The following is a 25,460-nucleotide window of genomic DNA, read 5'->3' as shown; positions in this document are numbered from 1 at the left end:
AAAGAGATCTGATTAGATGTTGGAACAGTTCAAGCATCATCTCAACCCAGCTTTCTGAGCTATTTAGGCTTTTCATTTAAAACATATTCAACTTTTAACAAGGCGCTTATTTAAAATATATTTTACTCTAGTACATCAGAGACTTTTGAAAGCGATGTTCTAGGGGAAGCGTCTAATCAAATTCTCAGGGACAGCTTTCAAACAAAAGACTGTTCTATCATTCAACAGTGGTATGGTAGAATTTTTGACACTGTATCTCGACTCGAAAGACCCAGTCCCAGGAAACACACACACAAACAAGAACGCTAAGCTATTAAGTTATTTGATTTGAGCCACATACCATGCAAGCACTGCATTTACCTATTATTTACAAGCAAATCACAACTAGGAAGAAAGAAAAATGTTTATTACAAGGAAAGAAAAGGAGACGGCCAGTCTCAGACCCTTCTGCGTTCAGAGAGACGGCAGAGATTCGCCATGCAGGATGAAATTAAGGTCAGAGAGCCGTTTACGCTATGCTCGGGCTCCCCGGGCTCTTCCTCCCTCTACGGCTGGCCGGCATTGCTGGTGCGATTCGGAAGAACGAGCTGCAGAAGTCGCTCCCGGCCGAGGGAAGGGACCGGGGGCGGTGCGGGGAGCGTTCTGCAGGGAGGCGGCTGGCGAAGATCCCGACGAGGGAGCCCCCACCCACCTGCCGCAGCCGGATGGGGCAGGGCAGGGCCGCGCCGCAGCCAGGCTTGGGGGTGGTTGGGAGGGACCCGGCGGCCTCGCGCCCCCTCCCCCCGTCAGTGACATTCCAGCGGCGGCGCCGAGCCTCGGCCCGGCTGCTCCTCCGCAGCCCACGCGCCACAAAAGCAGCGGCAGCGGCTTCCCCCACTCAGCCGAATGGAGGCAGCCCCGCGGCCCGCCCGGCTCACCTGTCCGCGCGCCGGCCCCGCCCCGCCTGAAGAGCTGCCCAGCTCCCACCCGGGGGTCGGCTGCCCGGGGCCCCGCTCCCTCCCGGAGCTCCCCGGCTGCCCCTCTCACCGGCTCTCGGGGGGTGAGGGGCGTGGGTGCGTCGGGCCGAGGGGTGCTGAAGGACCGAGGAGCCTCCGCGGCCTCCGCTCCACACCGTTCACTCCGCAGCGGGTAGTGGCGGCGACGCGCGCGCCCCGCCTCTTTTATAAGCGGCTACGCGCGCTCCCGCGGCGGGCGGGCGCGAGCGCCGGGGGAAGCGCCCCGGCGCTGCGCGAGGGGTGGGGGAGCGCGCCGGCGGAGCAAAGGGGGCGGTGCTCCCGCCGGCTCGCCGCCCGACCGCCCGGCGGAAAGGGCCGAGCGATCCCGGAAGGAGCCGAAGCGACAATGCGGGGGAAGAGGTGAGCGAGGGGCGGGCCGCGGGAGGATGGGGAAATGGGGCGCGCGCAAGGGGTGAGGGGTGATGGTGCAGTGAGGTCACTGCCTACGCCCTGGCGGTAGAGACGCTCCCGCCTCACCTCCCTCCCCGCAGCTTGCGCCCCGCCACCGCCCGCCCTGCGGACAGTCGTCTGCATCGCACCACTCCGCCCTGGGAGCTCTTCCAGGACTGCGGAGAAGGGCGGGGCGGGGGTATCGCTGCAGTCTGGCTGGGGATGCTGCGCGCCCCGGCCGGAAAAACGCCCAGTCCCAAAGGGTGAGATCACCCGAGTGCGTCTCTTCCTGCTCACTTTCCCGAGGAGGAGGCTGGCGCTGGGGTCCCAAGTCAGCCTAATTCGGTGGGGGCTGGGGTCAAGAAGACGCGGATGATTTGGGGCCCCGGGTTTGAGGAGGTGGTGAGAGGAAAAGGCCAAATCCGAATCAGAAAAAAAATTAAGTCGACTAATTTGGGGCATAAAGCTGTCATTCTGGGATTTGGAGAGTTAATTTCTTATGTTCTTGGAGATTATGGGGGAGGAAACGGCAGCGGCAAAATAATAATTTCTTACATTCCTGCAACAAAAGCTTTCTCACAGGTCGCCAGTGGAATAGGCTACATTCATCCTATTTCATAAACAAGACATTAAGGTTCTTTCTGGCACAATTAATCGAACTTGCCTTGTGTACTAGGCACTATGCTAAGTATTTCGTGTTACCTTTTCATTTCTTAATCTTTGCAATAATTTTATGAGATGTTTTCCCATTTTACAAATGGGCACTCTTACATAATGCTCATGTAGGCTAAGTCTCTTGGCCCAGGTCAGGCAGCTACCAATTGGAAGAGCTAGGATTTACATCTCAGCAGTCAGAACCTTCCCTTTGCAACCGTATGTGTATTGCCTTCAAATAGGAAAGGGAGGCATTTTGATGCGGGTGGCTGCTGGGGTGCAGAAAGAGAAAAATAAGATTCTCAGAATTTCTGATACTTAAAGTCCTAGCAGTTTAAGGTCCTGGCTCTAAACTCTGTAGCCAGAAGCCCTGGATTAGGAAGCCCTTTCCCTATCCCCATTCCGGTGACAGCTGGGCCGCAGCCACTGGGAGTAACACCCAGATCATTCCTGTGCAGTCAGGCAGACGGGGAGCTCTGCAGCTTAGGAAGGCTTCAGCCTCCTGGTTACCAAGCAGCTCTCCTCTTTAAATAAATATAAAGTCATTGGACACTGCACCAGAATCTGGGCCCAGACCTGGCCCTGAGCTTCCTGGCCCTCTGCAGTTTGGCTTCTTTCCCCGTGCCTGGGACCTGCAATACGGTTTCTAAGCTGTCCTGGCTGTAGCCATGATACTGAGGAAAAATTTCCCTACCCACTCACTCCATTGGAGTGGAGAGAAAAGCAGTGACCACACCCCAGAAGCTGCTTTAGAGAATCTGTGTAGGAGAAACGTAGGAGCTGAGAGGCATTTCCTGCAATCTTCTATGTAGAGAAAACAGCGCTGAGCAACTCCTCCCTGGAGTGTGCATTTCTGAGAACAGCTGATGGTATCCGTGGCCTCTTCTCCAGCAGGTTGCAGTAAAATGTTTGATCAGATATTCAGCTCTGGGTACAAAATGGCTAACACAATTGTAGCTCCCTAAAATTTCCAAGACCTTCTGCTCCAGCAAAGAAAGCACCTTGGGACTGAGGGGCAGGAGCTGTTCAAAAGGGAGGGTTTTTCTATTAAATCACCCTGGCCCCATAGTGAACTGGGGGTTCTGCTGCTTTTGCTGGATGCAAAATGGAGACCTAAGAGAGAGCTCTGTATTGATAGAGAAACTAAAATCTTATTTGATTCTTTGTGTGATCTGAGACATGACCAAGAAACAGTATCCCCAGCGCTCTCCACCTCCCACCCACTCACCCTGCCTTCTCTGCACTTGGCACTTGAAACCAGCCATTCTTCACTGTTCTGTTGTCTGCCTACCTCACCTCCCACCAGTTTCACCATATGCCTAACACCCTAGTAGGTGTGGAAAGCTGGGGGAAAAAACAACAACAGAAAAAGCACAGGACAGTGTAACGACTTTGTAACCAATCAACTCCATGTTCTCAGTCACACCTCTCCTGGCCTCCTAAAAAGCAGAGGGTTGGACTGAATTCTCAACTCCTTTTTCTAGTTTCAGCAATCCTCAGAAGGTTTGATAGGCACCCTAAGCTTAAGCGTCTAGATAGTCCCAATACTTTTTCAGGTTGTTGAAAAGGTCAACTGTTGGAAAACACACTAATTGTGGTGATGTGTCCATATGTTCCAGCCAGGGAAAGTCACTTGCCCACTCTCCCTGGGAGAGACCCCTTCCCCTCCCCTCCCCTCCACACCCTGTCTCACCCCCTGCAAAGATAACAGGCAAGCACTTCCACTATTTTTCTTCCCTAGAAGGGAGCTGATTGGGAAGAGTCATGCTGGCAAGTGGACTGCACTTCCCATATGACATTCTGCAGTGTCAGAGCTGGCAAGAAATAACACAGCTCTTCAAATCACAGTGCCTGGATGAACCTTGAAGGCTTTATGCTAAGTGAAATACGCCAGACACATAAGGATGAATACTGTATGACCATTCCACTTATATGAGATCCCTAAAATTGTCAGATTCATAGAGACAGAAAAAACTGTTGTTACCAGGGTCTGAGGGGAGGGAGGAATGGGTTATTATTGTTTAGTGGGAAAGTTTCCGTCTGGGATGGTGAAAGAGAGTTCTGGAGAGGATGGTGGTGATGGTTGCACAACACTGTGACTGTACATAATGCCACAGAACTGTACACTTACAAATGGTTAGGCAGGGCTTGGTGGCTCACGCCTGTAATCCCAGCACTTTGGGAGGCTGAGGCGGGCGGATCACTTGCGGTCAGGAGCTTGAGACCATCCTGGCCAACATGGTGAAACCCTGCCTCTACTAAAAATACAAAAATTAATCGGGTGTGGTGGTGCACACCTGTAATCCCAGCTACTCGGGAGGCTGAGGCAGGAGAGTCGCTTGAACCCGGGAGGCGGAGGTTGCAGTGAGCCAAGATCGCGCCATTGCACTCCAGACTGGGCGACAGATTGAGACTCCGTCTCAAAAAAAAAAAAAAGGTTAAACTTTTTATGTTCTATATATTTTACTACAATCAAAAGACAAAGCAAAACACAAGCCCCTGCTTCTAAAATCAAGCACCACATTAGAGAAGCAGCCTGATAGGCTCTGGGAGTGTGGCCTTACCAGGGTTTTAAGACTCCAGGTGACAGCAGAGATGTAAACTCCTCCCTCCCCTCCCCTAATCCGACCTTGTAATCTGGCTCCGGTCATTTCACATCTGTTCCCTTGCAGGGCTGCCTGCTAGGCCTGGTCAGTCCGTGTCCCTCCTGCTTACCTTGAACCCACTACTACAGTTAGTTTCACAAATCACGTCAAACCTTCTCAACAAGTTTCAGTTGTTTCCCATTGCCTACGGAATAGGCCGAAATTTGCAGCCTCCACAATCTTGTTCCAATTTACCTTTTCACAGCATCATTCCCTACAGTTCTGCTCTACTGGTCTGAGGTTAGCCTCTTTCCAAAACATGTTATTTCTCCAACTCCATGCTTTTGTGAACAATTTTTTCCTCCAATTAGAACATCCTTTCCCAACACTCATGCCTCCTTTCTGCCTGAAAATCTTACCCATTTTGAGTATATGTAAGTAGAACCTTTCTGGAAGAGCAGTTGGCAATGTGGATCAAAATATAAAATTTGCATGCCATTTGACCCAGCAATGTTAGTTACATCTAGAAATCTGCCTTAAGCAGGACAAGATGCATTTTCATTCAGGACGGGCGTGGTGGCTCACACCTGCAATCCCAGCACTTTAGGAGGCTGAGGCAGGCAGATCACTTGAGCCCAGGAGTTTAAGACCAGCCCGGGCACCATGGCAAAACCCCATCTCTACAAAAAAATGCAAAAATTAGCCAGATGTGGTGGCTTGCGCCTGTAGTCCCAGCTACTCAGGAGGCTGTGGGAGGATCACCTAAGCGCGGGAGGTCAAGGCTGCAGTGAGCCATGACTGTGCTACTGCATTCCAGCTCAGGCAATAGAGTGAGACCTTGTCTCAAAAAAAAAAAAAAAAAAAAAAAGAATGTTAATAATTTAAAAAAATATATTAGGCATAACCTAGTCACCAAGTGAAAAATGATTAATTACGATTCATAAATTCAAGACTATATTCATGATATAATACTTATTGACTTGAGAAAATATTTGAAGTGTTACTGAATTTTAGGTTACATGAATGGTACTCAGTCCATTTAAGTAAGAATTATAGGCTGGGCGCAGTGGCTCACGCCTGTAATCCCAGCACTTTGGGATGCCAAGGAGGGTGGATCACCTGAGGTCAGGAGTTCGAGACCAGCCTGACCAACATGATGAAACCTCGTCTCTAGACTAGAATTTCAACCCCAGCTTTCCTGGGTTTCCAGCTTGCAGATGGCAGATTGTGGGACTTCTCAGTCTCCATAATCTCATGAATAAATTCCTCGTAATTAAATCTCATCATATCCCTGTCCATCCATCCGTCTCCTATTGGTCTGTTTCTCTGGGGACCCTAATACAGTGAACTTCCATAGGCCTGTCACCCAGCTCCAACAGTTATCAACATTCTGCCATTCTTGTTTGTTTTTTTGAGACTGAGTCTCGCTCTTGTTGCCCAAGCTGGAGTGCAATGGCATGATCTCAGCTCACTGCAAACTCCGCCTCCCGGGTTCAAGTGATTCTCCTGCCTCAGCCTCCCGAATAGCTGGGATTACAAGCATCTGCCACCACACCCAGCTAATTTTTGTGTATTTTTAGTAGAGACAGGGTTTCACCATGTTGGCCAGGCTGGTCTTGAGCTCCTGACCGCAGGTGATCTGCCCGCCTTGGCCTCCCAAAGTGCTGGGATTACAGGCATGAGCCACCACACCTGGCCCATTCTGCCAAGTAGGTAAGTAATCATTGATTACTTCACCTTTAACATAGTATTTTCAGGCCGGGCGCAGTGGCTCACACCTGTAATCCCAGTACTTTGGGAGGCCGAGGTGGGCAAATCACGAGGTCAAGAGATGTAGACCATCCTGGCCAACATGGTGAAACCCCGTCTCTACTAAAAATACAAAAATTAGCTGGGTGTGGTGGCGTGCATCTGTAGTCCCAGCTACGTGGGAGGCTGAGGCAGGAGGATCGCTTGAACCTGGGAGGTGGAGGTTGCAGTGAGCCAAGATTGTGCCACTGCGCTACAGCCTGGCGACAGAGCGAGACTCCGTCTCAAAAAAAAAAAAAAAATTACTTGCCAAACTTATTTGACTATCAAGCCCTTTTTTTGAACCCTGCAGAAAAGCACTCTGGGATTTAAACCATCAGCTGACTGGCTGTCAGGCCTTTGGACTTAGACTAGATGAAATAAGTCTATCTGTGCTCCTGTAACTTTTAGCTCAACCCATCAAGTGCTCCAGGTGCTTAAATCGCATTCTCGATTGAATTAAAATTCTACCTTCAAGTCACCTATGTTGAAAACATGTTTAGAGTCAACATTCCATCCTTGCTACAGGTCGATGGCTTCAAGGTAACCTTAGTCACCAGGGTCCTGTTTTCAGGGTTGTAGGTTCCAGAGGTTGATTTTGTCACCTCATCAGAATTGTAAGCATGTTTTTTTGCAGGGTGAAAAGAGAGGTATCTGTTAATTTTGAAATAGTTTCCAATTTACAGGAAAGTTACAAGAATACTGGGAAGAAATCCCATATACCCTTCACCCAGATTCCCCCATTTGTTAACCTTTGACCACATTTGCTTTATTATTCTATGTTTACATATATAGACACACATAACAGCTGTATACATATACATTGTCATACACACGTGTATACATATATATGTATACACATATATATCCCCTCCCCCCAGTCATTTGAAAATAAGTTGCAGGCCGGGTGTGGTGGCTCATGCCTGTAATCCCAGCACTCTGGGAGGCCGAGGTGGGCAGATCACCTGAAGTCAGGAGTTCAAGACCAGCCTGGCCAACATGGCGGAACCCCGTCTCTACTAAAAATACAAAAATTAGCTAGGTGTGGTGGGTGCCTGTAATCTCAGCTACTCAGGAGGCTGAGGCAGGAGAATCGCTTGAACCCGGGAGGCAGGGATTGCAGGGAGCGAGATCACACTACTGCACTCTAGCCTGGGCGACAGAGCTAGACTCTGTTTCAAAAAAATAAATAAGTTGCAGACATCATGCCCACTTACCTCAATGTATATTTTCCAAGAATAAGAACATTCATTTTCATAACCACAGTACAATGATCAAAGTCAAGAGATGCATGTTGACACAGTACTATTATCTAATATACAGGCCTTATTCAAGTTTTACCAATTGTTCCAATGTCCTTTATAGCAAAAAACACACCCACAGAAATATCTTTATTTTTAGTGCAGGTTCCAATCTAGGATCACATGCTGCACTGAGTATAAATATCCTGAAAGAACTAAAAGAAAAAAAAAGTTCTTGAATACATCCTTCTGGAAAAAACTGATACTTTCTTAAATGGAGGCTGGCTTTAAATGAAAGGATAAATCCCTTTATAATGGGTGTTTTTGTAAATGCATCACATAGCCAGGAAGACTATAGTTCTAATCTGCTTTTTTTCCCCCTAGAGATAGCGTCTCACTCTGTTGCCCAGGCTGAAGTACAGTGGTACAATGATGGCTCATTGCAGACTTAACCTCCTGGGCTCAAGCAATCCTCCTGCCTCAGTCTCTCAAGTGGCTGGGACTACAGGCGTGTGACCTGTTTTTTTTGTTTGTTTTTGTTTTTTTTTTGAGACAGAGTCTGGCTCTGTCACCCAGGCTGGAGTGCAGTGGCGTGATCTCGGCTCACTGCAAGCTCCACCTCCCAGGTTCACGCCATTCTCCTGCCTCAGCCTCCCCAGCAGCTGGAACTACAGGCGCACGCTGCCACGCCTGGCTACTTTTTTTGTATTTTTAGTAGACACGGAGTTTCACCGTGTTAGCCAGGATGGTCTGGATTTCCTGACCTCATGATCCGCCCGCCTCGGCCTCCCAAAGTGCTGGGATTACAGGCGTGAGCCACTGCACCCGGCCGGCTGTTTTTGTTTGTTTTTTTTTTTTTTTTTTTTTAAGAGATGGGGTCTCACTGTATTGCCCAGGCTGGTCTCAAACTCCTGGGCTCAAGTAATCTTCCTGCCTTGGCCTCCCAAGTCGCTGGGATTGCAGGTGTGAACCACTGCACCTGGCTTAATCTACTCTCTGTAGGTCCACTGGAAATCTAATGTCAGGAATTCATTAGGCAGGATGAAGAAAAGTGAAGGGGATTACCAGGTGTGACATAGGCACTTGTAAGAAGCTCTGTGGCTCTTAGTGGAGCTTTTGGTTTTCCTGACACTGAGATAGAAGATGTCCAAGCCTAATTTTGTCACTGCTATCATCATAGAAAGCTGGAGAAGTAGGGGGAAAGCTCCTAGCACATGGGTGGGAAATCCTCAGAAATCTATTCTTCTATGTAAGGGAGGTGTAGAGTTTCTGTCCTCTTGGAATTTTTAATTTGTCATCAGATTTGCTTTAGCAGGACAATAATGTGACAAAAACATGGATCCTCAGCCTGATAAATGAGGTCAAGTTTGAAAGCAAGAAAGGAGACAAGTGAGTATTTGAATTAAAGCCGAAGGCAGTCCTTAGTATTCTGCTGTAAGGAGTCTGATGCTACTTTCCATCAGGAGCTGCATCTCTCATCTAGTAATCATTATCTCTATCCGTCAGTATCAAAAACCTGGACTCCCAGTGCTCTCCTTTCTTGGTTTACCATTGAAATCCATTAGGAATACCAGCATCAAATGACATATGCAAGACCACTAACCACTAGAGGAAGAATATTCAAATAATTCAAAAATCGTAAGAGGTATTTCATAAATTTTCTTTTTAATTTATTTATTTAAAATTTTAAAAATTTATAATAGAGATGGGGTCTCACTATGTTGCCCAGGCTGCTCTTGAACTCCTGAGCTCAAGCAATCCTTCCACCTTGGCCTCCCAAAGTGCTAGGGTTACAGGCATGAGCCATCATGCCCAGCCTAAGAGGTATTTTCTATGAAGTAATACAAATCCAAAGTGGAAGAGAAATTATAGATCATCTCATCCAGTGATTTTTCATTTTGTTTTTGACAGATGAACTTTTCCATACATAATCTTACATGGAACCATAATATATCATACAGCACATAAAACAAAAAGGCTGTGGCAGAGAGGATCCCAGAGCTCCATTAGAACCCCTAAATGGTTGTGCAAAACATGAGCTGCACAACTCTGGGAGGTACCATGACCTCCATCATAATTTTACTTTATTTTTTAAAGCTTTTCAGTGAAGATTGGAAAACCTGCTAGACAAATTCTAAAAGAGCTGTAACACTCATAGATTTGTACAGTTATTAACAGGGCAGTTGTCCAATAGAGGGTGGTAGTATCTTGAAGGAAAAGGGATGCCTTTTGGAAATTTGCTTTAAGCCTCTGTATGTTGACTGGCTACAGGGCTGAGCCCCATTCACTCAACATCCCCCTGTCCTGAAGTCATTGCTTCCCAACCTATTCCCTGTCACGGTACCTAGAAAATGATGCCTTTTTTTTTTCTCTTTTCTTTTTCAGATAGAGTCTTCCTCTGTCGCCTAGGCTGGAGTGCAGTGGCGCGATCTCGGCGCACCGCAACCTCTGCCTCCCGGGTTCAAGCGAATTCTCCTGCCTCAGCCTCCGGAGTAGCTGGGATTACAGATGTGCTCCACCATGCCCGGCTAATTTTTGTATTTTTAGTAGAGATGGGGGGGTTTCACCATGTTGGCCAGGCTGGTCTCGAACTCCTGACCTTGTGATCCACTAGCTTCGGCCTCCCGAAGTTCTGGGATTACAGGCATGAGCCACCACACCCGGATGAATTATGCCATTTTTAAGGCAAAGGTAAGGAGAGGAAATGTGAATGGAACCGCTCCTGGGGGCTCACCCACCACAGGCCTTGTCTGGGAGGGCTAATGAGGTCATCATGCCAAGGCACACCAGCTGGGAAGCTCTTCGCTAAGGAACTGCTATCAAGCATAGTTTGAAAACTACAGTGACATGTCCAGTTCTTTTGTTTTACAGGTGGGGATACTGAGGTTCAGAGCGGGTGAAGGACCTTCCCAAGGCCAAAAAACCTAAAAGTGATTTGAGCCGGGGTCTCCTGACTCCGTCCCCAGTGTTCATTCCATTGTGTCTACCTTATTTATTTATTTATTTTTTTGAGACAGGGTCTTGCTCTGTCACCCAGGCTGGAGTGCAGTGGCATGATCACAGCTCGCTGCAGCCTCGACCTCCCAAGCTCAAGTGATCTGCCCACCTTAGCCTCCTGAGTAGCTGGGACTACAGACATGTGCCACCATGCCTGAAAAATTTAAAAAAAAATTTTTTTTTTTTTTGAGACAGAGTCTTACTCTGTCGCCCAGGCTGGAGTGATCTCGGCTCACTGCAGCCTCTGCCTCCTGGGTTCCAGCAATTCTCCTGCCCCAGCCGCCTCTTGGGTAGCTGGGATTACAGGCACACACCACCATGCCCAGCTAATTTTTGTAATTTTAGTGGAGACAGGGTTTTGCCATGTTGGCCAGGCTGGTAAGACGTGAGCCACCGCGCCTGGCCAAAAAAATTTGTTTTAGACATGGGGGTCTCACTATGTTGCCCAGGCTGGTCTTGAACTCCTGGACTTAAACAATCCTCCCACCTCAGCCTCCCAAAGTGTTGGGACTGCAGGCATGAGCCACTAAGCACGGCCTATTGTGTCTTTCAAAGATTTTAATACACTTTCACATCTCTTGCTAGATAAAATAGGGTCAGTTATTAGTACATAATTCCAAAAAAGGAAATGACAGAAAAAGAAGTAATATTCCCAAGGTGTAGGTCAAGAAGACCAAAAGGAATAAATGCATACCGCTCTATACCTGGACTTGTATACTATCATGATTTACATAGCTCAAGGCAGAGGAAATTGATCATATTGAACCAATATATCAGCAATGGGTTTTTCAAAAAACCAAGCTTTATTATTAATTTTTTTTGGCACCTTAATTAACAATTCATAGAATGGGTCACTTCAGGCCACTCAAGAGTACCAGTGAACACTCCCCCACAAACACACCCTGCCACAAGACATTTAGCACAGAGGAACAGATCCATGGCCACTGCCTCTGCAGTATCAAAGAGAATTAGTCTTTCCACAAAACAAATTTTAACAGCCAATCTCTGGATTTCTGTAGTGGCTTTAGTCAGGCATATTTATCATCATATTAGCAGTGTTCAGTTCCTGCCCAACATCTTTATTTAATCCCAATTCAATGCTTATGGATGCTCAGCTCATGTTTAATGTTGCAAGCCCCATCTTAGCCCATCTTAATTCAAACAGAAAAGAAACAAAACAAAACAAAAACAAAAAAGGTACCTGCCTGGTTCATGGATCCCTAGCCATCCAGGGACCAAATTCCAAATTAGGATGACAAAGAGTTTCCCTTAGTTCAAAATGACATGTGTTTCCAGTCCTAATCCCAGATGTTAATCTAGCCATAGTGTCACCTGAGCCTTAGTCCATGTGTATATCACATACTTCCTCTAGCTTTAGAATGACTTCACAAGCTGAGAAAGGCAAAACAACCATAACCCAGACTTGCATGTAAGTATCTGGCCTCAACTATTAAATAATACTTAAAAGGGAACCTTATGAGCCTTAGCTCTTTCTGGAAATTCATCTGAACAGGGGTGAGGGTGGGTAGGTGGGTGCAAATGGTGGGCTCCCTCCAGCTCAGAGTGCATTTGTTAAGGTATTGCCAACTTTCTGAAAGACACTAGAGACAAGGGAGGAGACCAAGTGCTAAAGACCTTTTATCACTTTTGCAAAAAACAAGAAAGGCCAACTCCATTTATTTTATCACGTGGATCTCTTAAGGAACTACCAAATCTACTAAGGGACCTCCAAGAATTTTGTGACCCATGAAAATCTCCTCTCCTAGTCACAAGGCATAAATACATAAAAATACATAATGGCAAATTTCTGAATCTGACATGACTTCTCCCAAATACAGCTGTCTTCAGTTCCTTTATTATTGCCTCTTTGCAGCAGCGGTGATGGTGGGTGATGGAGTGACATCAGGAGCGCCAGAAGGAGGAAGTCAGAAAGCCCTTGGGGACAGGAATGTCCTTGTGTTGCAAACATTTCTGGTCAGGGAAAGATGAAGAAAACAGAATGAGTTTCTGATAACAGTGTTCCCAACACTTAATGGTTAAAAGAAGCTTTGAGGAACACCATATTTCAGCCCTATGGAACAGTGAACAAAAAGGAAAAAGCCAGTAAGACTGATGGTTCTGTATAAGATGTCCACTTCTGCATGATCTGCTCCAGACAACAAATGAAATGCTCTTATTATTCCTGTCCCACTCTTGTCTCCCTACAGGCTAACCTCATCTTTCACAATCACTATTTTCACAATCGAGCTTTGAGAAGCTGAAAAGTCAGCAGGCTATCTTGGCAAACCCACTATAGTGTTCTAAATTCTTTGTCAAAATTAACCTTTTACAATCTCTTGGCACTTGGAAGTAGGGGAAGAGTCCAACTGAAAGTGCAGTTTGATCTCATGGAGAAAAGTGATGACACTTACCAATTCCCCAGACCTGAGACTAAGAAAATAACCTTGGCCAACATGCAAAAAAAATATATATTAATGAGAGGAGATACACTAAATATATTTTACTCATCTCAGCATAGCTTTCTCACAGGCAGTATAGAGAATGATACATATAAAGAAGAGGAAATGGCAGCCCTTACTCCAAAGGTTAAGAGGGAATTAGGAACAAAAAGAAGGGTTTGGAAGAACTAAGGAAGAGAGTGCAATCAGAGCATCGGAAGGTCCAAGACTTGTCAGACATAGGTGCATTCCAGCCCAACAACAGTGTGGGGCATGTTGGTCTAAGGGCATCTTACCTCCAAGAACTGCTTGAGGCGTATGAAGGAGCCCATCTGTCCTGAGCTTGTGATAGCTTCAATTCTACAGGGAGAGAAAGACACATGAATCACACCTATGATATACACCTATCTTTTGGAAACGGTGTCTCACTCTGTCACCTAGGCTGGAGTGCAGCGCGGTGGTGCGATCATAGCTCACCGAGGCCTTGAACTCTTGGGCTCAAGCGATCCTCCTGTCTCAGCTTCCCTAGTAGCTGGGACTATAGATGCATGCCATCATGCCTGGCTAATTTTTTTTTTGTAGAGATGGGGTCTTGCTATATTGCCCAGGCTGGTTTTGAACACCTGGGCTCAAGTGATCCTCCTCCTGTGGCCTCCCAAAGAGCTGCAATTATAGGCATAATTATAGGCATAAGCCACTGTGCTCAGCCCCTAATTTGTGTTTTTGTTTGGGCAATGATATTTAAGACAGACTCTCATTAAGGTTCAAAAGCATTTATTCAAATATCAACGAGAGGGACTGGAGTAGGAAAGATGTCATACTTAGTACAGGTGTTTTTAACTTGAATCAAAACCAGCAGGTAATAGCACCCTTGGGTATCTGAGGCCTGGTTATGAGTTACTTAATCCCCTGCTGTCTGCTCAACAAGCCTGATACCTGGGAAAGTAGTCCTCTTTGATGAGAATTAGCATCTTCCAGAACTGAACCTGGTATTGCTTCATGAGGGCATTCCCACACACCTAGAGGGAAAGACAGGCACTGTCAGAGCAGAAAATGAAAATTCACACTCACAGGACAGATTCATAAAGCACAATCAGCCCTTCATCTTTCACACCTATCAAAAATTTCAACCACAATGCCACTGAACTTGCTAACAAGGGAATAAATGGAAACACCCAACTTTCTTCTAAAGCATTTCTCTTTATATGGCAATATCTCCATTTAACCAATCAGGTCTTAATGAACTACTCTTCTTTTCCTCTAATGAATGGACGCCTTCCTAAAGGTATGGTATACCTCCCAAACTTAGTAAGGAGAGTATACAGAATACCACTTGTGTTCTCAAATGATACAGGATCATTGTTCATGTATGGTGACTTCAGGAGCTTTTTATTTTTTTTTGAAATAGGGTCTCACTCTGTCGCCCAGGCTAGAGGACACTGGCATGATCACAGCTCACTGTAGCCTCAACCTCCCTGGGCTCAGGTGATCCTCCAACCTCAGCCTCCTCAGTAACTGGGACCACAGGCACACACCACTAATTTTTGTATTTTTTTGGTAGATATAGGGTTTCACCATATTGCCCTGGCTGGTCTTGAACTCCAGAGCTCAAGTGATCCGCCTGCCTTGGCCTCCCAAAGGCTGTCAGCCACTGCACCTGGCTGACGTCAGGAGCTATTAAGGTAACTAGGAACTATTGGCACTATAGATCAAATGGTTCCAGATTTGTTATGGCATGTACCCCAAGGCTTTCTTCTATAAGAAGTGTCTTCTTGGCTGAGTGCAATGGCTCACTCCTGTAATCTCAACACTTTGGCAGGGTTAGGTGGGAGGATCGCTTGAGCCCAAGAGTTTGAGGCTACAGTGAGCTATGATCACACTAATGCACTCCAGCCTGGCTGACAGAGTGAGATCCTGTTCAAGCGATTCTCCTGCCTCAGCCTCCTCGGTAGCTGGGATGACAGGTGTGCACCATCACACCCGGCTGATTTTTTATTTTTAGTAGAGACGGGGTTTCACCATGTTGGACAGGCTCGTCTTGAACTCATGACTTCAGGTAATCCAACCACCTCGGCCTCCCAAAGTGCTGGGATTACAGGCGTGAGCCACCGTGCCCGGCCTTTATTTGTATTTTTAGTACAGACAGGGTTTCAATATACTGACCAGCTGGGCTCGAACTCCTGACCCCATGTCATCCGCCCACCTTGGCCTCCCAAAGTGCTGGGATTACAGGTGTGATCCACCGCACCCGGCCTGGGAGTCCCTTCTATATCCCTAAAACAAATTCCTCTTTTCACTTTTGCTAGAATGTACAATTTTCTGTTCTTTATAATGAAAAAAATCCAGAGAAGCCAAGTAAATATAGTATGGAGTAAAAGTGAAAGCAAGGTTGGTCTACAGCTTGGGAAAAATGTATGACACTGGAACCTCATGCTGTTTTACTATCAGGCCCAAATGCTATGCTGTTTCCCCATTCATGTCACCCAGTGGATCAAGGCTACCTCAACCACTGGCCTTCTCTTGTGTGATAACTGAGTTACGTACCTCCAGGAAGTCAAAGAGGAGGGTGGCTGTCACATCTGACAAGGGCTCCATGTTTAAGATCTGTGCCAACCAGCGCCATCCATGATTTAAGCCATGAGGGTGAATCTGGGAGTAGAGAAGCTTGGTTATCATTGATCTCATTTTGTTTAGAAATCTAAACTCCCAGTGTATCATCCAGCCATTACCAAGTGGAAATGAACCCCAGATCATCCAGCCCTAGCACCTGCCACAGGGCAGAAATAACACAAACTAAACAAATTCTGTTTTTCTTTTATTTTTTTGAGACAGGGTCTCACTTTGTTGTCCAGGTTGGAGTGCTATAGTGCGATCATGGATCACTGCAGCCTTCACCTCCTGGGCTCAAGTGATTCTTCCACTTCAGTCTCCCAAGTAGCTGGGACTACAGGCATGCACATGCCACCGTGCTCAGCTAATTTTTTTGTATTTTATTTAGAGACATGGTTTCACCTTGTTGCCCAGGCTGGTCTCAAACTCCTGGAGTCAAATGACCCACCTGTCTCGGCTTCCTAAAGGGCTGGGATTACAGGCATGAATCTACCTCGCCCAGCCTTCTGTATTTAAATGTTTCAGTACATTGGTTCCCACACATTCTTTTTTTTTTTTTTTTTTTTTTTTTGAGGGAGAGTTTTGCTCTTGTTGCCCAGGCTGGAGTGCAATGGCGTGATCTCGGCTCATTGCCACCTCTGCCTCCTGGGTTAAAGCGATTCTCGTGCCTCAGCCTCCCAAGTAGCTGGAATTACAGGTGCCCACCACCATGCCCAGCTAATTTTTGTATTTTTAGTAGAGACGGGGTTTCACCATGTTGGCCAGGCTGGTCTTGAACTCCTGACCTTAGGTGATCCACCCACCTCAGCCTCCCAAAGTGCTGGGATATCAGGCCTGAAGCTACCTCGCCTTCTATTTTTTAATGTTTCAATACATTGGTTCCCACACATTCTTTATAGGCTCCCTTCAATATGCATGTGTCAGCTTCAGTTTCAGGCATTCCATAGGGTAACAATTAGCCTTATTGACATTTTATTTATTATTCTTGGTACCTTTAGCACAGAACCTGGGACACAGCAGGCATACAATAAAAACTTGGATTTAATCAACTTCTATTTTTTCTCTTTAGGTCTCCGTAACTATTAATTTCTCTGTCCTTCTAATCTGTATTCCCTGAGAAATTAATTGGGCTGGCAAGTCAAAGCCCTGAACCCCAGCTGCAGCTTTCTGAGCTTGTTCTGTCCATCTGTGAAGTAAGGTATGTGATCTAGATGGCTTCTAAGGTCTCAACTAGTTCTAAGATGACAATTTCTTGCTCATTCCTCTTGTAAGAAAATCTTCTAACCTTAATGACTGATTTATAACAGACTCTCCTCTGGTAGACTCTGTTACAAAACCAGCTCTTTAAAGTACCAGGTGATCCAAGAAAGTTCCCTAATAATCAACATTCAGTCCTCTACATAATACCCATGAAACTGCCATATAGTTTATCCTTTAACTAGACTGGCTCTCTGAAAGAAGGCCAACATTTCCTGTGGGAGGAATACACATGGACTGTGGTCTAACCTCTCATTATTGACAGTAAGCCTCTTTTACCTACCTCCTGTCGGTTTCCATATGGCCACCGGAGCTGGATGATAGCAGCGTAGAGACGGATCATCCCTGACATGCGTTTTAGAAAGTTGTCTTGCTGCTCCACTTTGGAATCCTTTACTTGGTAACCAAGCATCCTATACGGGAAGAAAAAATTTGGCCGGGTGTGGTGGCTCACGCTTGTAATCCCAGCACTTTGGGAGGCCAAGGTGGGCAGATCACTTGAGGCCAGGAGTTCAAGACTAGCCTGGCCAATGTGGTGAAACCCCATCTCTACTAAAAATACAAAAATTAACTGGGTATGGTGGTGCATGCCTGTTTGTCCCAGCTAATTGGGAGGCTGAGGCATGAGAATTGCTTGAACCTGGGAGGTGGAGGTTGCAGTGAGTCAAGATTGCATCACTGCACTCCAGCCTGGGTAACAGTAAGACTGTGTCTCAAAAAAAAGAAATAAGAAAAAATTCACTGGGACAAGGCCAAAATAAGGGTGACAAATTAGAGATAAATTGCTTTTTTTTGGGAAACAGAGTCTCTGTCACCCAGGCTGGAGTACAGTGGTATGATCAAGGCTCACTGCAAACTTCACCACCCAGGTTCAAGTGATCCTCCCGCCTCAGCCTCCTGAGTAGCTAGGACCACAGGCACATGCCACCATAGCCGGCTAATTTTTTTTTTTGAGATGGAATTTCCATCTTGTCGCCCAGGCTAGAAAGCAATAGCACGATCTCAGGCAATCTCCGCCTCTCGGGTTCAAGCGATTCTTCTGCCTCTGCCTCCCGAGTAGCTGTGATTAAGGCACCTGCCACCACACCTGGCTAATTTTTTGTATTTTTAGTAGAGACAGGGTTTCACCATGTTGGCCAGGCTGGTCTTGAACTATTGACCTCAGGTGATCTGCCCGCCTCAGCCTCACAAAGTGCTGGGATTACAAATGTGAGCCACCGCGCCTGGCCTTTTTTTTTTTTTTTTGAGACAGAGTTTCACTCTTGTTGCCCAGGCTGGAGTGCAATGGCATGATCTCGGCTCAGTGCAACCTCCACCTCCTGGGTACAAGCGATTTTCCTGCCTCAACCTCCTGAGTGGCTGGGATTACAGGTGCCTGCCACCATGCCCAGCTAATTTTTTGTATTTTTAGTAGAAACGGGTTTTCCCCATATTGGCCAGGCTGGTCTCAAACTCTTGGCCTCAGGTGATCCGCCCGCTTTGGCGGCCTTGGCTTCCCAAAGTGCTGGGATTACAGGCGTGAGCCACCGCGCCCAGCCAACACCTGGCTAATTTTGTAGAGACAGGGTCTCACTATGTTACCCAGGCTGGTCTTGAACTCCTGGGCTCAAGCGATCCTTCTGCTTCAACCTCCCAAATTGTTAAAGTAATTACAGGCATGAGGCACTGCACCTGGCCCAGAGATTACTTTTTATGGCTAAAAAATAACAATATATTATTACACTCAGCATTACTATTAATATATTATTACAGGCCGGGCGTGGTGGCTCACGCCTGTAATCCCAGCACTTTGGGAGGCCAAGGCGGGCAGATCACAAGGTCAAGAGATCGAGACCATCCTGGCCAACATGGTGAAACCCCATCTCTATTAAAAGTATAAAAATTAGCTGGGCGTGGTGGTGGGCGCCTGTAGTCCCAGCTACTCGGGAGGCTGAGGCAGGATAATCACTTGAACCCAGGAGGCAGAGGTTGCAGTGAGCTGAGATCACGCCACTGCACTCCAGCCTGGGTGACAAAGCGAGACGCTGTCTCAAAAAAAAATAAAAAAAATAAAAAATATGTATATATATTATTACATATTATTACATCTGTAGAATACTTTGTTTACCAAGCACTCATATCCATCATCAAATCTGAGCTTCATGTAAGCCATGAGGTAAATTCACAGGAGGTAATAGATGTCATTACCCTCATTTAAAAATCAGGAAAAGATGCTCAAAAAGACTAAATGATTTGTCCATTTTTGCAAAGGTATTAAATGACAAAGCAGGGATAAAATTCCAAGACCCCAGTATCCTTTCCACTAAACTACATTGACTACTGGCACCTAAGTTCACAAATCCCAAAGGCTCTCCAGTTTACATAAAAGACTATGTATATATATTTTTTCTTTCTTTTTTGAGACACACTCTTGCTGTGTCACCCAGGCTGGAGTATACTGGTGCGATCTTGGCTCACTGCGACCTCCGCCTTCCGGGTTCAAGCAATTCTCGTGCCTCAGCCTCCTGAGTAGCTGGGACTACAGGTGTGCACCATTACACCTGGCTAATTTTTGGTATTTTTAGTAGAGATGGCGTTTCTCCATGTTGCCCAGGCTGGTCTCAAACTCCTGAGCTCAGGCAATCCACCCAACTTGGCCTCCCAAAATGTTGGGATTACAGGCATGAGCCACTGCACCCGGCCGAAAGACATTATATTTCTGATAGAACATTCAAGGTACGTAATAGGAGCTGTGAGGAGGGAAAAACAAATTCCAATTCTATTTATATTTCATTAATCACTCTAGGGATAGTGAGTAGGGAGAAAAACAACTTTACCTCTGATAGTCTTCCAAAGCCATTCCCTCCTTGAAAGTGGGATAGAAAGGAACAGAGTAAGGACACTTCTTATGTAGATGAGCAAGAATGAGGTCCCCCACTCTGGGGTGGAGCTCCCAGATCCCGGATGCCACAACTGCAATGGGGAATGCTGCTTCATGGTGAGAGGCCACTTCCTCCTCGCCTTGTTTCTGAGAACATAGAGGTGGGTACAATTTTAACTTAATACCAGAAAAAGGCTGAAATCTTGTACACCAGCCTCTGCTTCCCATACCTCTAGCAACAAGGTTTCTCACCACAAATTTCTCTGCCAGTTTGTATTGAACAAAGTCCAGCCCCTGTGGGTTAAGTGTGACAGACACAGAGCGCCCACCAGATTGAACAGGTTTTCCAGAGAGCAGGCTGTGGATCTTGTCAAAGATCTCCTTCAGTTTTGAGCCTGAGCATGATAGAGAGAAATTAAAAGATATAACCACAGATCAATCTCTTTTTCTTTTCCTTTTTTTTTTTTTTTTTTTTTTTTTGAGACAGTATCACTCTACTGCCCAGGCTGGAGTGCAGTGGCACAATCTTGGCTCACTGCAACCTCCGTCTCCCGAGTTGAAGCAATTCTCTGCCTCAGCCTCCTGAGTAGCTGGGATCACAGACGCCCGCCACCACACTGGGCTAAGTTTTGTATTTTTTTTTTTTTGTAGAGATGGGATTTCACCATGTTGGCCAGGCTGGTCTCTAACTGCTGACCTCAAGTGATCCGCCCGCTTTGGCCTCCCAAAGTGCTGGGATTACAGGCGTGAGCCACCATGCCCAGCCTGTTTCATCATTGTAATTACAAAGCATCTACAAAAACCCAGCTGTGCTGCCCTACAGAAATGAAGGGATAAACAGTATCCCTTACTGTACACATAAAATGAAGGGATAAACAGTATAGAAAGAGGTGTTACATTTTGTTACAGACCCCATGGACTGTGGTTGGTATCTCTAGAGGAGTTAGTCACATCTCTAGGAAAAACCTTCTAAAGGATCTAACCAGCTCATGATGATATGCCCCCTTCTCAGGACTTGCCTTCTTCCGTCCTCAGAGACACAGAAGTGGATTCGTAACAGCTATATTTGTACCAAAGATTTTGTGTGCTCCACCCCCACACTAGCTACAGTTAGATTAGAGGCAGTCAAGCTGAGCCAGTCAGTCAACTAAGAGTCACTTCCTTGAGGTAGCTGGCCCTGTGTCACATACACTCACAAGCAGTGGGGGCTGCGTACCTGCCATGAAGACCAAAGAACGGCAATCTATAAAATAAGAATGGAGATGTAGAGAGGACAGATGAGATGAGAGAGGAAAAAAGAACTAAAGTTTCTAGCTCCTGAGACCTCACCTCATTCCTGCCACTGGGTTCTGTAGGATATTTCTTTATCTTTCCAATAAATGCTTTTTTTTTTTTGCTTAAGCAGATCTGGGCCAGCACTTTGGGAGGCCAAGGCAGGCAGATCACTTGTGGTCAGGAGTTCGAGACCAGCCTGACCAACATGGTGATACCTCGTCTCTACTAAAAATGCAAAAATTAGCCAGGTGTGGTGGCGGGTGCCTGTAATCCCAGCTACTCGGGGAGGCTGAGGCAGGAGAATCGTTTGAACCCAGGAAGCGCAGGTTACAGTGAGCCGAGATTGTGCCACTGCACTCCAGCCTGGGTGACAAAGCAAGACTCCATCTCCTCCCTAAAAAAAAAAAAAAAAAAAAAAAAAAAGCAAAGCAGATCTGAATTACTTTCCATTACCTGAAGTCCTGAAGTCAATGTTTTAATTAATACAGCATCTCCAGTTGAGAAATACCCTGTCAAGTTCCTAATCACTTCAAGAAATGTCACAAAAGTTTCAGAAATATCCTGTCATTCAGTTCTCTTATCAAAAAAAAAAAAAGCCAACCATGTGGACCCCACTGGCTGAATGCCCCATCTAGCATCTAGCCTCTCTCCATACCTCTCTAGGTAGGAGGAAAGTTAGTTAGCTTCCAACCCTAGACTGACGTGGCCTCCCCATGCCACAGCAACATCATGTCCTTATTTAAGATTTCTTCTAATTCTAACCACTCATGGACATCCATCTTTTTTTTTTTTTTTTTTTTTGAGCTGGAGTCTCACTCTGTCACCCAGGCTAGAGTGCAGTGGTTCGATGTCACCTCACTGCAACCTCTGCCTTCCGGGTTCAAGTGATTCTTCCACCTCAGCCTCCCAAGTAGCTGGGACTACAGGTGTGTGCCACCACGCCCGGCTAATTTTTGTATTTTTAGTAGACACGGGGTTTCACCATGTTGGCCAGCCTGATCTCAAACTCCTGACCTCAAGTGATCTGTCTGCCTCATCCTCTCAAAATGCTGGGATTACAGGTGTGAGCCACCACACCCGGCGACATCCACTTTTTTTTTTTTTTTTGAGATGAAGTCTCACTCTGTCACCCAGGCTGGAGTACAATGGCACGATCTTGGCTTACTGCAACCTCCGCTCCTGGGTTGAAGTGATTTTCCTGCCTCAGCCTCCCGAGTAGCTGGGATTACAGGCGCCTGCCACCACATCTGGCTAATATTTGTATTTTAGTAGAGATGGGGTTTCACCACATTGGCCAGGCTGGTCTTGAACTCCTGACCTCCTATGATTCACCCACCTCAGCCGCCTAAAGTGCTGGGACTACAAGTGTGAGCCACTGGGCCCAGCTGACATCCACCTTTTTTTTTTTTTTTTTTTTTGAGATGGAGTTTTGCTCTTTTTGCCCAGACTGGAGTGCAATGGCGTGATCTCAGATCACCGCAACTTCTGCCTCCTGGGTTCAAGAGATCCTCCTGCCTCAGCCTCCTGAGTAGCTGGGATTACAGGCATGCACCACCATGCCCAGCTAATTTTGTATTTTTAGTAGACACAGGGTTTCTCCATATTGGTCAGGCTGATCTCGAACTCCTGACCTTGTGATCCACCCGCCTCAGCCTCCCAAAGTGCTGGGATTACAGGATTACAGGCGTGAGCCACTGTGCCCGGCCCACCTTTTTTTTTTTTTTGAGACGGAATCTCGCTCTTTCACCCAGGACGGAGTGCAGTGGTGCTATCTCGGCGCACTGCAAGCTCCGCCTCCCGGGTTCATGCCATTTTCCTGCCTCAGCCTCCGGAGTAGCTAGGACTACAGGTGCCTGCCACCACGCCCAGCTAATTTTTTGTATTTTTAGTAGAGACAGGGTTTCACCGTGTTAGCCAGGATGGTCTCGATCTCCTGACCTGGTGACCCGCCAGGCTCGGCCTCCCAAAGTGCTGGGATTACAGGCGTGAACCACCGCGCCCGGCCCACCTTTTTAAAAAAGAGAAGAATTAGGTGATCCTTCCCTCCTATTCATTAAACGCTTACTGAGCACTAACTAGAGCATGTTCTGTGTCTGGCTGGACTACAAGATCTTAAAGGACTTAAAGTCTTGATGGAGACAAAGGGAGAGTCAGGAAATGTGTAGAAAAATTAAAAAAGGCAAAGATATAGACTAATTCGATGTGGTGAGTGAAAGAGAGGCAGCAGTCATAAAGATGACTCCCAGGTTTCCAGCTAAGATTACTGAGTAGATAATGGTGCTACTGATTACTCAAGAGAAAACAGCAGACAAAGAGGGCTAAGGAAGATGATGGGTTTGGATTTGAACACATTAAACTTGAGGCAGCTAAGAGACATATAGGCAGAGATGTCCCTCAGGTAGCTGAAGCTGGAGAATCTGAAGCTCAGAAGAAAGGAATAAACCAGAGGTAGGTTTGGGAGTCATCAGCATTCAGGTAATGTTTGAAGCCCTGTAAGTAGAGAGAACGAAAAGAACTGCAGGATAAGAGTAGATCCCAGCCGGGCACAGTGGCTCATGCCTGTAATCCCAGCACTTTGGGAGGCCGAGGTGGGCAGATCATGAGGTCAGAAGATCGAGACCATCCTGGCTAACACGTTGAAATCCTGGCTAACACGTTGAAACCTGGTCTCTACTAAAAATACAAAAAATTAGCCGGGCGTGGTGGCAGGCGCCTGCAGTCCCAGCTACTCGGGAGGCTGAGGCAGGAGAATGGCGTGAACCCGGGAGGTGGAGCTTGCACTGAGCCGATATAGTGCCACTGCACTCCAGCCTGGGCGAAAGAGCGAGACTCTCAAAAAAAAAAAAGAGTAGATCCCTAGGAATCACCTACAATTAGAGTGGGGTAGAAGACTAAGAAACCCACAAAGGGGAGAGAGAGAGAGGGAGAGAGGGAGAGAGAGAGAGGAAAGGGTAGTGAGGGAGGGAGGAGAAGAACCTGGAAAGTAATGGCACCATGGAGGCCAAAGGAGTAGAGTTGCACAGAGAAAGCAGCAACAGTGCCGAACAGAAACCTCAGGAAGATCAGCAAACACTTAGAAGACATAGGATCAAGGGAGACTCATGTTAGGATGTGAGGGGCTCACATATATTTACAGGCTGAGAGAGAGGAGCCTATAAAAAGGAGTAATCACAGAAAACAGGAAAGGCAATAAACGATGAGGCAGTCTGACAGGAGACAGGAAGGAAAGGGAACAAGGGCAGAGGTGGAAGGGTAAGCCCAGCAGCAAGGACGCCTCATCCAGTGACACAGGAGACTAAGAGGTAAATGTCACTGTGCAGTGGTGGAGGGGCTCTGAGGAGCTCACACTGGATGTCTCCATTTTCCTGATGAAGGAGGTACTGACCCTGTCTGCAGTCAACAGAGGGGAACTGGGAACGGCCATCGAGGTGTGGAGTGGCTGTCCAGTCAACCTCTCTTGCTTTGCTGTTGCTATCAAAGGACACAGCACTTTAAATTCCAAAAAGTGATATGTTATTTATTTATTTATACCTTGCCCTGTTCCAGAAAGAATTTCAGGCAGCAAAGTCATATGTAAGTTTTGCTGGACTGCCTATCAAGGGCAGGAACTGAAATTTTCCTATGCTTTCCAGGCAATGAGAAGTGAGTCGGGGAACGGAACCCACGATGCGTCAGAGGAGTGTTCCAGTTGCACACACACTCCCCAGCCACCTGGCAGCTCAGTCTATAATCTGGAGGCTTCCACATCTACAGCTCCATACAAATGAACCTCTGGTTCTAAAGAAGTTTCTTCCTTGTCTGGTTCTCACTTTCTAAACCTCAGTCTCTGGAGAGAAAAGGAGTCCTGGAGGATGAACAAGGCGAGCTTGGAGTAATTTGGAAAAGCTAATGTTGTAGGACAGAAGCAAAGCCTGCAAGTCACAGCCTAGGTTCCCTGAGTGATGTTTTCAGCAGTAAACTGCAACTTCAAAGCTAAGAGCCATCCTAATAATTTGCCATAAAAGGTAGCTTGTTAAAAATGAGTCAAAAAGGCCGGGTGCAGTGACTCACGCCTGTAATCCCAGCGCTTTGGGAAGCTGAGGCGGGCGGATCACAAGGTCAGGAGGTCGAGACCATCCTGGTTAACACGGTGAAACCCCGTGTCTACTAAAAATACAAAAAATTAGCTGGGCGTGGTGGCGGGCAGCTGTAGTCCCAGCTACTTGGGAGGCTGAGGCAGGAGAATGGCGTGAACCCGGGAGGCAGAGCTTGCAGTGAGCCGAGATTGCGCCACTGCACTCCAGTCTGGGTGACAGAGCAAGACTACATCTCAAAAAAAAAAAAAAAGGGGGCTGGGCACAGTGGCTCACGCCTGTAATCCCAGCCCTTTG

General features: G+C 46.8%; 2 protein-coding genes, 1 long non-coding RNA gene and 1 pseudogene across 40 annotated transcripts in view, besides 1 other annotated feature; 1 reads left to right on the top strand and 3 right to left on the bottom strand.

Moving 5' to 3' along the window:
• Window positions 1-1,136, bottom strand: part of SPTAN1 (spectrin alpha, non-erythrocytic 1) — an 81,076-nt gene extending 79,940 nt beyond the window's left edge. For 25 of the 29 annotated variants that reach the window (XM_047423783.1, NM_001438440.1, XM_047423790.1 and 22 more), the window contains exon 1: window positions 1,027-1,136. The gene's annotated coding sequence lies outside the window, so the exon portion shown is untranslated. Of the gene's footprint in view, window positions 1-411 lie in introns of all 29 variants that reach the window. The other 4 variants (NM_001375318.1, NM_001375312.2, NM_001375311.2 and 1 more) reach the window with 1 other exon arrangement.
• Window positions 723-1,492: a silencer, noted in NCBI's record as "silent region_20345". NCBI's record gives its function as "represses an Ori minimal core promoter by ATAC-STARR-seq in GM12878 lymphoblastoid cells {active_cell/tissue: GM12878}" and the evidence as "EXISTENCE:reporter gene assay evidence [ECO:0000049][PMID:35858748]".
• LOC101929270 (uncharacterized) lies at window positions 1,310-25,112 on the top strand. Its single transcript, NR_188457.1, has 4 exons — window positions 1,310-1,355; window positions 10,039-10,344; window positions 16,768-16,896; window positions 24,723-25,112. It is a non-coding gene; the product is annotated as an uncharacterized LOC101929270 (long non-coding RNA).
• RNU7-171P (RNA, U7 small nuclear 171 pseudogene) lies at window positions 9,750-9,806 on the bottom strand (annotated as a pseudogene).
• The window catches only part of GLE1 (GLE1 RNA export mediator), a 37,597-nt gene continuing 23,571 nt past the window's right edge, over window positions 11,435-25,460 (bottom strand). For 5 of the 10 annotated variants that reach the window (XM_006717060.4, XM_024447519.2, NM_001003722.2 and 2 more), the window contains 7 exons: window positions 20,068-20,210; window positions 19,772-19,962; window positions 17,239-17,368; window positions 15,633-15,737; window positions 14,025-14,107; window positions 13,385-13,448; window positions 11,435-12,621 (listed from right to left, as the gene is read on the bottom strand). In XM_006717060.4, coding sequence (XP_006717123.1) covers window positions 12,553-12,621; window positions 13,385-13,448; window positions 14,025-14,107; window positions 15,633-15,737; window positions 17,239-17,368; window positions 19,772-19,962; window positions 20,068-20,210 — 785 coding nt within the window. In that variant the 3' untranslated portion in view covers window positions 11,435-12,552. Of the gene's footprint in view, window positions 12,622-13,384; window positions 13,449-13,845; window positions 14,108-15,632; window positions 15,738-17,238; window positions 17,369-19,771; window positions 19,963-20,067; window positions 20,211-21,031; window positions 21,059-25,460 lie in introns of those variants that run through there. The other 5 variants (NM_001411013.1, XM_011518549.2, XM_011518550.2 and 2 more) reach the window with 2 other exon arrangements.

Source organism: Homo sapiens, chromosome 9 (assembly GCF_000001405.40).
Source record: "Homo sapiens chromosome 9, GRCh38.p14 Primary Assembly".
NCBI lineage: Eukaryota > Metazoa > Chordata > Mammalia > Primates > Hominidae > Homo > Homo sapiens.
Note: the sequence above shows the minus strand (reverse complement) of the source record. Positions and strands in the feature narration are given on the sequence as shown.